The sequence below is a fragment of the Homo sapiens genome, chromosome 20 (genome assembly GCF_000001405.40).
Source record: "Homo sapiens chromosome 20, GRCh38.p14 Primary Assembly".
Lineage (NCBI taxonomy): Eukaryota > Metazoa > Chordata > Mammalia > Primates > Hominidae > Homo > Homo sapiens.
The window spans coordinates 11,676,276-11,688,417 of NC_000020.11; the positions used below are offsets into that span (position 1 = coordinate 11,676,276).

The 12,142-nt window shown below is 41.6% G+C and overlaps 1 long non-coding RNA gene across 1 annotated transcript; it reads right to left on the reverse strand.

Moving 5' to 3' along the window:
- Nucleotides 1-10,052: 10,052 nt before the first annotated feature.
- On the reverse strand, nt 10,053-11,091 carry LOC107985384 (uncharacterized). Its single transcript, XR_004837567.2, has one exon. It is a non-coding gene; the product is annotated as an uncharacterized LOC107985384 (long non-coding RNA).
- Nucleotides 11,092-12,142: the final 1,051 nt, after the last annotated feature.

Consider the following 12,142-nt stretch of genomic DNA (forward strand, 5'->3'; position numbering starts at 1 on the left):
GGTTTGCCAAACAGAAGCTATGGGGTCCTCTTCTCTTGTACTAACAAGCTAGACCCCAAGCAGTGAAACTGCTGCTATAGAACAAAGGAGATCTCCAAACCCATTCTGTTCTAAATCCATAATCCTGATGGCTGAAGGCACCGAAGCTAGAAGCAGTGTCTTGTGGCTTAAACTTCAGGCGCTTGTCCCTGGACCCAGGACGCTTCCAGCAACGCTGCCGGCTTGCCGAGGCTCATGGCAATCAGATCCTCTTTCTGAATCTGAGTTTTCTCACCTATAAAAAGTAAGTAGTACCAGATACATAAATTATAGACCGTTACTATATGAAGCCTCTAATATTGGCCAAAGAAACGCCTGAGGAATTATTTTTTCCCAGCATATTTTCTTTATCTGGGAGTGGAGTGGGTTGGAATGGAGGCTAGGAGTACCAGGATATTCCTCTGCCTGACTCCAGGGGGCAGCAGCTACTTGGGTAAAGGGAGGTCAATGACCCATCCAAGGGTTGGGTGACCTTAGTTCTTAAACCCTGAGGTAAAGAGACAGATCCAACAAAATGGACTTTTTAAAAGAAACATAAAATCCTCAGAAGTCATGCCCCACTTCTAAAGAAACTATGGCTCCCGGGAGATCCTCAGAACATGAAAATCATTGGTGAAAGGATAGTATTTCTCCTGAAGGGTTTTCCTTAGATTTTCCTGGATAGGTTTTTGGTGAGAGCAGATTTATTTTTAACAAATGCACACACATGGCATCCTCTTTCTTGATGACAAGGATTTTTTATTTTTTCCAAAATGTGCCTGGCAGGCCCTGGAGCCAGAGAAACAAGACTGGGAAGCCTGATGTTACACAATGCATTGCAAGTGATAGCCGAAACTGGTCTGGTTTCCAGACACCTCCTGATTCAACAGGGATGTGTTGCATTAGCACTCAGAGTTTCTAACATAGTAGCAAATCTACATCTTTACTCTATTTTTCCATCTCATTAGTAGGAAGGAAGGAAGGTAACTTAATAGAGGAGGACGCAGAGAATTCTAACAGAATTGCCAGCTCTTTTTTTTTTTTTTTTTTTTTTTTCTGTGTGGCTTTAAGCCTGGTGCTTGCAGCAGAAGAAACCCTTGAAATTCTTGAAGCTAGGAAGCTAAGGTTTCTGAAGGAATGAATTTGCACTGCACACATAATCTATAATTTATTAGCCTGCTTCAATGGTCATTATTGAGATTTGATTGTAATGCTTAGTGGCGTTAACATCCCTTCCACATCTCCCTAACAACATTTATGGTCAGTAATAATATTGGTTCAGTGCTTGAGCTGTGCTCTGAAGAATGAATCTGCTAGAGCTCATCTTGCCTCATTACTTCTAACAAGGCTCCTGTAGTCATGTCAAACTCCGGTGACATGCCAGACAGAACGACATCTTTTAAATATTATCTCTGACATACTTCATTTGAAATGCTAGCCTTTCAATTAGTGCTATGCACCAGGAAGTGACAGATTCTGGAGGAAGCATTGCTTCTCTAGATGATCATAATGAGAGTAGGGTGTCACAACAGTGTGGTGGAACCAGAGAAGATTCCCATGAACAAGTCCATGAAAGTCTCTTTGAACTTGTTTCCCCACCCCCGGTGGACATTGTTGGTGCTCTATTTGGATGTCCTCATATCCCTCTTATTGGGACTGTGCACCCGTTCCCCCAGTTTCCACTTGCTTTGCTACTAATGGCTGCCTTCTGCTCCCATGGACACTGCACCTGCACAGAGCCTGACTCTCACAGGCACCCACAGCTAGTGACTGACTGGTGCAGAAGTACAAAAGCTTGGCTCCTCTGCTTTAAGGCTGGGCAAACTCTGGGGTGTAATTTATGCTCCAGAGCCTCCAGCAGAAGCAAGCTGAGTTTGGGGATTCACTTGAAATCACACTTTCGCTTGGCTTCCTCCCCCTCTTTTTCCTGCTTCCCACAATCCCTTATTGGCCTTTCCAGGGGATCCTTCCTTAATAAATCATTTGCCAGGAAGGTTTGGCTCAGGGTCCATTTTGGGGAGAAGATGATATCAGATGCATCAGGCAGGATCTTGAATCTCCAGCTGTGTGCAAGCCTTGTAACCATTCTGCTTCTGAATTTGCTCCCCTGCAGTGGGAACATCTCCTAGCAGCACGAACTGTATATACTCCCAAAATACCCATCTCCCTCCTTCACCTCCACTCAAGGTATGAGCTGTTCCAGCAGCTTGGGCCTTTTATGCAAGACAGCCTAAAGGGAATCAACACTTTTTTTTTTTTTTTTTAAGAAAATGGGTCTGGCTCTGTCACCCAGGCTGGAGTGCAGTGAGCTCACAATTCTTCAAACTCCTAAGCTCAAGCCTCTGCCTCCTGTGTAGCTGGGACTACAGGCATGCACCACCAAGCTTTCAACACATTTTTAATTGCTTACTATTGTCATTAGTATTTGTATTTCCATCGTATCTTCTCACCAACCACTTCACATGTTTATTAGTAGATCCACTTTACAGTTAAAGAAACTGAAGTTCAGAAAGCTTATGAAAACTGAACAAATCCCACACCCAAAAGATGTGTGGCTTTTAACCCAGGCTTTCAACTCCAAATCCACTGAGTTTTTCACATATTGTACTACAGTGGCCCCACTGGCAGCCAGGCCATGATGTTCCCAATTAAATATAAGTAATGTTTAGATCAGGTCACATCATGATCATGTTTGCAATATGACAGAGACAAGTTACTCCACAACCACAATGACTAGACACCCTCTTTTGACTAATGTGAATAACTAGTGGGTTTTTTGTTTTTGTTTTTTTGCCAATGACAACCTTAGCTTCACTTTAATTTTTCTGCCCCCTAGATGAAATTTGCTCTAATTTCTTGACAGCATCTAATCTAGAGCAAGCCCCTGCTTTATTAATTTCTCCTTAAATTCATCCAAAGCCCTAACTCCGTCAGAAGCCTTCCTTCAATTTCCCTTATGAGATTCTCCAAGGCTTCCTCTGGGTTCTATTCTCCCTTTGCTGCAGCAAACTAATAAACCTAACTTTGTTGACTTCAGGTGTGACCCTGATGGTTTCATCATCCAGGTTTCATCAACCCCTCAAGTTGTTTTCCAAAATAATTTTGCATAAGATCAACTATGCTGTTGACTAGCACCATGTTTTATGCAATGTCAGCCCCTATTCATTGTAAAATGTAAATGTACTGATAAAACCTTTAAAAAAACAGACTGCCAGTTAAACTACGCCAAAATACCTTTATGTTAGTCCTGAGCAATGCACAAATCAGTCACATCGGCTTATCAGTTTATTTATTTTTACATATTTCAGAGGATGTGACTGTTTCTCCTGAGTTCAATTGTACTCGTTGGCATAGGATAGATAATGTTTTTGCTTGTGCCTTGATAACAAAACCTAACTGCTTTACCTGTGAGTAGCTTCCTTTCTTATTAACATAAAGCACTTGGTGTAGCTTTGCAAGATAATGTGGAATTGCATTCATTCCTCCAACATCAAACATATGCTTCATTAATATCAAATTAATATCCCAAAGCCTTATCCTTCTGCATTTCTGCCTTTGAGATATTTTAAGGCTAAATTATTGATGGCAATTAAACAGAACCCAGATAGTAACAACATTGCACATAAAACAAATGAAGTGGTAACCAAGTTTTTATAAGCACAGGTAATGCTGCTAGGTTCTGACTTTCACCTGATGCAAAGGGATAGTAAAGGGCAACATCCCATCCTGATTTTGCCAATAGTAAATTGTGGAAAAACATTCACCTTAGTATCAATGAAATATGTGAATGTGGCTGCAATTAGTTATTTGAAATAGAATTTTTCTTCATATTACTTTACAAGTATAAAATAGAATAAACTTAGTAAAGGAGCAGAAACAAATAAAAATGGAATTAACCTTTCTCCCAGCTAAAGGAAACATGAAAACACATTGTTTTTCTTCTTTTGGAAAAAGAAAAAAAATGCATTTACATTTAGAGAGACAAAATATTTCTAGGACCTACATCTAAATAGTAATGTTAGTAATACTCTCTACTGCTTTTCAATGCATATTTAATTATGTTACCTGAAAAAATATATACTCCAAATAAATGATCTAATTCCGGTATTCCATGTACATGGATAGGCGAGGAAGGGAAATAGTCCATGTACATAGATAGGTGAGGAAGGGAGACAGTAGGTTTGGATGGAATAGAGCTTCCTTTGATTCCATCCCATGCCAGGAGTCAACTGCTTATAAGACGTTGTCCACCCTCATCCCAGCCCTAGTGACTCCTTCATTGTACCCAATACTGGGTGCCTAGTAATTACTTCTAAATGATGAAATCTTAGCATATGTGGGAGTAGGAATTGGTGCCCCACCCAAAACCTCTTTAATGGGCCATTTTACCCATCCCTCAGCTACCATATTGATTGTTACTGGCTCAGAGTTGTCCCCTACTTTAATTGACCTTGGACAACAGAAGTCACTTCACTTGTGGGCAGATAGGGAGGGAGGTAAGTCGGTAAGCAGGGTATTTATCCACTCCCTGGGAATGGTCTGCAGCTCATGATTTCAGCCCCTGACATTAGGTACAAATTGGCTATCCTTGACCTCAAGGTGGGAATTACTCGGTGGTACAATTCATACTCCAGAAATCTCCCTGAGATCAGGCGTGAAGTTAGGCTAACCTACTTACTTAACCCATTTTCCTGCCTCACCCTACTGAATTCACATCCCTTGCCCATGTTTCCACTTAAGAGAACCCCACTCTTACCCTCATCTCAATAAATCACCTGCATGAGAATCCTCACCTCCAGCTCCAGGATCAAAGAAACTTAAACCAAGGAAGCTCTATCCCAAGGGTCTTTGCATTTTTATATTGAACCTGTTCCTTTCTCTGTCTCTCCATATGCAGTCAGCTCTACTCGTAGAATCTAGATCAGAAAGACAAACCTGGCTTTGCCTTCGCTAAGTTACTTTTTCATCTGCTACCACTCCTGTCTCATGAAGGGAAGAGAAAGAAAACTTCAAGCTGCATCCTCTACCAACCACCCCAAAGAAAAGAAATAAAGAGATAGAGACTTCTCAGCCATTGCCCAGAGATAATTTCAGAGCTTACAGAGAAAACCTTAAGGAAAATCGTTTTTGAAGCCCTGGACATTTGTCCATCCCTTTAGTAGGGGTCATTCTCATGAATGTGGTTTTAAAAGGTTTTTTTTGGATTCCATCATCTCTCCATCTATTATCGTCCTTTGTCCTGGGCCAGCTGTGCTGTGATTGGCAGATTTACCCGTGCAAAATTCAGTTCCCTTTACAACTCTTTCCCTTTTCACCATGCTTATTTTTTCTAAATTCCTTCTTTTTCCACGCTCATCCATGAGATGGATGGTTGCTTTTTATCTGGGCAGTTCTTCTGAAAACAAAGCCTTCAAAGGATGTGAATCAAAATGTCTCTATGTTGGAGAAAAAATAAAAAAGAAATATCCTTTTGAATCAAAGACCTAAAAATTTCTTGGTAATATTTTTTAAATTTATGCTAATTTCTTCCCTCCCCCATACTTTATTTCCATCACAAAAATATTTTTTTTTTGCTGATGATTTAATTATCATTGTATCACAGTCCCTTAATAGATAGATGTTCTCCTTAAATTACTGTTTAATTCCTTAAGGTTTTACTCTTTAAATTCTTCCATTCTGTTCCTTTCACATAGTTTATGTAAGCATGTTTATCTTTTTCTTATATTCAGTTCCTGATTTATAGTTCTCAAACTCTTTTAGAAAACTTATATAAAATATAAATATAAAAAATAAAAGATTAGAAAAAATTATCTAAAACCCACTGTTTTATGGAGTTTCCTTTGATCCCACTAGTCTGTCTTCTTTTTGATTTTATAAAGGACAGAGATTTTGGTAAGCTCTTAAAGTCCTAAATAAACAGAAGGGTGATCAATTAGTAAGTCAAAATGAAATGATTGTCCCTGAACCCAGATTTGTTTGCACTGGGAATCATAGCCTCTTTCCAGTCTTCCTGCCGTGTTTCTATGCCATTTGACTCCTCTTGCTTTCTCGCATATTCCCAATGTGTCAAAAGGGCACTAGGTGAGTCAAACAGGAGTCAATCAAGAATCAAACATTTTCTGTAAAAGGCCACACAGTAAGAATTTTAGGTTTTGCTAGTCGTGTGGTCTCTGTCATGCTGCTCAATCCTGTGTTGGGGTATAAAAGCAGCTATAGACAATATGTAAACAAATGGGGCTGTTTGTATTCCAATAAAACTTTATTTACAAAAGTAGGCCATAGGTTGGATTTAGACAATGGGCCATAGTTTGCTGACTCTTGAGTTAAAGATAAGAGGACTCTGATATCTAAAGATACATATATTTGGGCTGCTATAGTTATGAATAGAGATCTTAGAGGTACAAAGAGACAGAAATGCAAAAGAAAGGTCTCAAAATTTATCCATTAATTTAATATTATTGTTTAAGGGAATTCTCTAAATGGAAGTAATTTTGTCTTTGTATATTTTCTTTTCTGTGGTCTGTTAATATTTGAGGCAAGATTTCTGTTTTAAAGAAAACATTTGGTACATTCATACTAAGGCAAGAATGGCTAATTAATTTATTATCTTTCCCAAAGTCATTTGCAATTTAACAGAGGCTAAGCCTGCTTTCTATAATCTAGGTCAGTGAATGGGGAGGGAACTAATATTTGTTTGGCACTTACTAGGTTCCAGTTCCTGAATGTCAATCATGTCTTTTTTTTTTTCTTTTTTTTTTTTGAGACGGAGTCTTGCTCTGTCATGCATGCTGGAGTGCAGTGGCACCATCTCGGCTCACTGCAACCTCTGCGTCTCGGATTCCAGCAATTCTCCTGCCTCAGCCCCACCGAGTAGCTGGGACTTACAGGCGTGCGCCACCACACCTGTCTAATTTTTTTGTATTTTTAGTAGAGATGAGGCTTCACCATGTTAGCCAGGCTGGTCTCGAACTCATGACCTCAGGCAATCTGCCCGCCTCGGCCTCCCAAATTGCTGGGATTACAGGCGTGAGCCACTGCACCCAGCCCATGTCATCTTTTTATTCCTCTCAGTAACCCTGTGAGATACAAAATACTATGATGTCAACTTCAAAGATATGGAAACTGAGACTTAGAGTAATTGAGTAACTTGGTCAGAAACAACTAGCTGAAAAGTTGCAGAACTGAAGCTCAATCCTAATACTCTCTTTTTCCAAAATCTGTTCCATACCCTTCAATGGTCCTACCTTATTTTGCAGTGGATCCAAAAGACCCTGAGGTCCCAGTCTCCTTGGAGAATCTGCTGCAAGCTACAGGTTAAAAAAAAAAAATCCTATGAGTTTTGTACACAATTTCAGGAGCTTCACTGAAGTGTGCATGAAATATCAAAGGCTACACAAATCCCTCCAGGTCCCATTTCCAGAGATATATTTCTCCTGAGCATTTCTTTAGAAGCTTGGAATCACATCACATGCCAGCTGCCTATGGACCCTTAGACTCAGCACTTCATTCCAGGTGGCCTTGAGATGCCAGATCAGCCCTGCAGTTATGTTCAATGGAGAAAAGGAGAATGATAGAGGGCAAATCACTTTTAAAAATTAGCTTTTTTGAATGTTTTTGCATTTATTGTGCATTTCCCATGTGCCAGGCAGTGGTTTCAAGTTTTAGATGCATGCCCAGGAGGTAGATATATGATTATCCCAGTTTATGGAGGAGGGTATTTTTTTAGTCTGTTCTCATGCTGCAATAAAGAAATGCCTGAGACTGGCGAAACTGGGTAATTTATAAAGAAAAGAGGTTAAATTGACTCACAGTTCTGCATGGCTGGAGAGGCGTCAGGAAACTTACAATCATGGTGGAAGATGAAGCGAAAGCAGGCACCTTCCTCACAAGGCGAAAGGAGAGAGAGTGAGTGCAAGCAGAGGAAATGCCAGATGCTTATAAAACCATCAGATCTCCTGAGAACTCACTCACCATCACGAGAACAGCATGGGGGAAACCGTCCCCATGATCCAATCATTTCCCACTGGGTCCTTCCTATGACACATGGGGATTATGGGGATTACAATTCAAGATGAGATTTGGGTGGGGACACAGTCAAACCATATCAGATATTATGATACATTACAGAGGCAAGATAACTTGCCTTAAATCACACCCCTGGCAAAGAAAAGACCCAAACCAGGGAAGTTTATTCTCTAGGGCATCAGTTCTTATCCACCTTTACTGCCAGCAAGCCTTCCATAGACCTGTATGTGAAGACAGGTCTCTGTGTCCTACATAGAAACAACTGGAAACCTCTGTGTTGAATATTTATACCTTAAAGCTCCTGGTATTTGTGCTATATACATTGTCGTCATTAAAAATGTGAAGGTAAATATTTATAAACAGCTGTTAAGGAAACTAGACTTCTGGGGAGAAATATTAAACTCAAATTGCTGCTTAGAGGTTTTCTTTTAAAAATATGAATATGCAGACTGACTCTAAATATAAACCTTTTTCCTATTGTAATTCTACCTTTCATAGCCCAGCTAAAAATCTGCTAGAATTCAGCAATAGGTCCCCAGGAAAATGACTGCTTTGAAAATGTTTGGCTGAAATCAGATACTACTTCTCACCTACTACAATGGCTAAAGCAAACAAGACTAGCAATACCAATACTGTAATTGGAGGAGATGTGGAGCAGCTGGAACTCTCAAATACTGCTGTGATGGAATGATAAATGGTGCAAACCTTTTGCTAAATTGTTTGGCAGTTCCCAATAATGTTAAATTCGTTCACCTACCCTATGACCCATCAATTTCACTCCCAGGTATTTATCCAAGAGAACTGAAAAGATACATCCATCCAGATAAATCTAAAAGAATATTCATTGCAACTTTACTCATAAGAGCCACAAACCAATATACAGCCCAAATGTCTATCAACAGATGAATGCATAAACAAATGGCGGTATAACCATATCATGGAATGTTACTCACCAATAAAATGAAACAAACTACATATAGATGCTCTCGATATATGTTCCTACATGGGTGATCTTCAAAAACATCATTCTAAGCAAACAAAGCCAGAAAATGACTACATACTGTGTAGTTTCATTAATATGACATTAGAAAATGCAAACTAATCTGTAATGACAGAAGGCAGATCCATCAGAGGTGTCCTTTGATGAGAGGAAGATTGAAACAAAGGGCACGAGGGAATCTGCTGCAGTGATGAACAAGTTCTTTTTTTTTTTTTTTTTAGAGACAGAGTCTTATTCTGTCACCCAGGCTGGAGTGCAGTGGTGCAATCACGGCTCACGGCTCACTGCAACCTCCGTCTCCCATGTTCAACCGATTCTCCTGCTTCAGCTTCCCAAGTAGCTGGGACTTACAGGCATGTGCCACCATACCGAGCTAATTTTTGTATTTTTTTTTAGTAGAGATGGGGTTTCACTATATATTGGTCAGGCTGGTCTTGAACTCCTGACCTCAGGTGATCCGCCTGCCTCGTCCTCCCAAAGTGCTGGGATTACAGGCGTGAGCCACCATGCCCGGCCTAAGTTCTGTTTCTTGATGGGTGGTGGGTTCCATGGGTGTACATACTTGTCAAAATCCATAGATCAGTATACTTAAAAATCTGCATTTTATTGTATGTAAATTATACTTAAAAAGTAGCAGTACTGGAAGAAACACAAAAACAGTTTTTCGATGAATGCCTATCTTCATCCTTGGGAGGCTCAGCTGTGGGCCTGGCTTCCTATGTCACAGCCTTCCCTGCATGTTTACGGACCATGGCAGGTTCTTCTGCTGGCCCCCTCTGGTACTCAGAGGGGTTCAGGCAGGAAACAGATGCTTTTGAATACTTACTGCCCCACTTTTCGTGCTCTTTGAAGGACGCAAGAAAAAGGAGTCAATCTTTACATGCTTCCCAATTACAAAAAGTAGCTAGGATGGCAACAATCTGTCTTGACTTCCCCTGTGTTTACATCCTCCAACCCAGACCTGAGAAATGACTGTGAAATTCTGACCAAGACTCACTGTTTTGGCAGCTTCCTTTTCCTTTATTTGCTCCCCATCCAAAATTCTCCTCCCTCTTAGGGATGTCTAATTTATACAATTTGTCTAGCAGGTATGGTACTGGTTTAGGCTACATTTGGGAATTCCAGCTGGGGCTGGGAGGAAGTGAAAGAGGAGGACGGTTCCCAGAAGGCGCATAACAGGCATTTTCAGTGGGGGCTTTCCTTCTGCCACTCCGATAAGCCCCTCGAGTTCCTGCCTCCTCCCTAGGAAAGGGTAAGCAAGACAGAAGAAAAGGTCAACAACCACAACCTAGACAGTGAAAATGTCTCTGCCAATTTCGCTGGGGCCCTCCAGGGCTAGTAACCCTCCAACCCACTTAATGAATTTAGAGACACATTAGATTCATTTACATAACAATATTTTAAAGACCACACGATTGCTTTGGAAAATTGTCTTATTTTTTTTTCCTTCCTCAAACTGAACTGCAGAGTTACAAATACCCTCCCAGAGAGCCTCAGAGGAGGCAAACTTGGCAGAGGAGAGAACGGAGAAAAATCCATCCCTTGCAAATGCCAAGCGGAAGAACAATCCCGTTAGGCGGCCAGTTGATGCTTAACTGCGGGACTGGGGGCTCGGGCAGGGATCTTAAACATCATTTCGCGTAGGGAAACAGGCACTCTCCTCTCCCGGAAGACAAGGCTGCGCGTAGGTTTATCTCGGCCTCCTGGAGGACCTGTAGTTTTTGGGAGAGCAGCTGCGAGGGGACAGAATGCTTCGCTGTGGTGGTTCCGCCGCGGGCTCCGCTGCCAGGAGGCCGGCGTGCGCGCAGCTCTGCGGCGGGGCAGGCTGCCAGGGCCCGGGGAGCAGCGGCAGTCTTCCTTGGAGGAGCACCTGTTCTTCCTCTCCCTGCGCCGGAAACGTGCCACCTTCCCCCACCCCATGCTGCTTTCCCCTGCGTGGCTCCATTTTGTCTTTCCTGATGGCAGATACCCCCGCGGCCTTCCTCTCGAACACTTGCGGGGCGCTGGGGGAGGGGACGGCCACGTCAGGCGCATCCCTTTTCCCAACACCCCAAGGTAGCAGCAGCAGCAGGTGCTGTGACATTATGACAAACACTCAGGTCCCCCGTGACTGGATGCGTCACACACTATGTCTAACAGTCGCTGACATCTCATCAATCACGGCCTTGATTATGCTGCTGGGGTCCCTGGGCTCAACTTTGGGCTCTGAACAGAATTTACTGCAAACTGAACATCCTTATTTCCAACGTAGGCAAGCCCGTCTTGTTTATAATGGCATAATCCAGCTGGAAGATCACACTGGCACACTCAAATTGGCCCATCTTTTCTCTTGTCAATATTGCAATTAGGTGCACATCCGGCATCAGAAATTGCTGGGACCTTTTTCTCTCCTGCACTCTCCCACCGTTTATTACAACTGAAGGACACATTTTGTTGTCCCTGAGAGTGATGTATTTGAGGAAAGGCTATGACTCAGTGTATGACAATTAAAGAGGAAAGGACATTGGTAATGATTAACTAGCTTGTCTACATGATGTGAGGCTGTTTGTCAACTAACATTGATTGAGCCAGTAGTCTGTGACCAGCCATGTGTGAGACTCTACTGGGAAACACAGGTAGGAAAAAAATGATTATTGCCCAGGAGAGCCTCAAAATCTAGTTGATAGGATAATTGTGCAAATGTTTACGTAGGAAAATATTGACCACTCTTCTTTGCCTAGTAATAAAGACAGCCGAGAGCCTGACCACAGTGCATGGATCTTCTGCTTTCCTAGATTGGTTCACTCCCTTTCCCCAGAATATTCCCCTGTGTTTTCTTCCTTTAGAAATAGGCTGATGGCATTGTTCTAACTTGAGGCCCCACCCCTCATGTATTTCTCTAAATCAAGGTCAGCAAGCTTTTTATATACAAGATCAAATAGTAAATAGTTAAAACTTCGTGGACCCAGAGGCAAAATGGAGCAACTGATATTGCTAAAAGATTAATAACCTTTTTTTACACTTTACATTTAAGAATGAAGAAAACACTCTTTAGTTTATACACCATACAGAAAAAAGTAGTGGGCTGGATTTGGCCCAAGGTGCACAATTTGCTGTTTC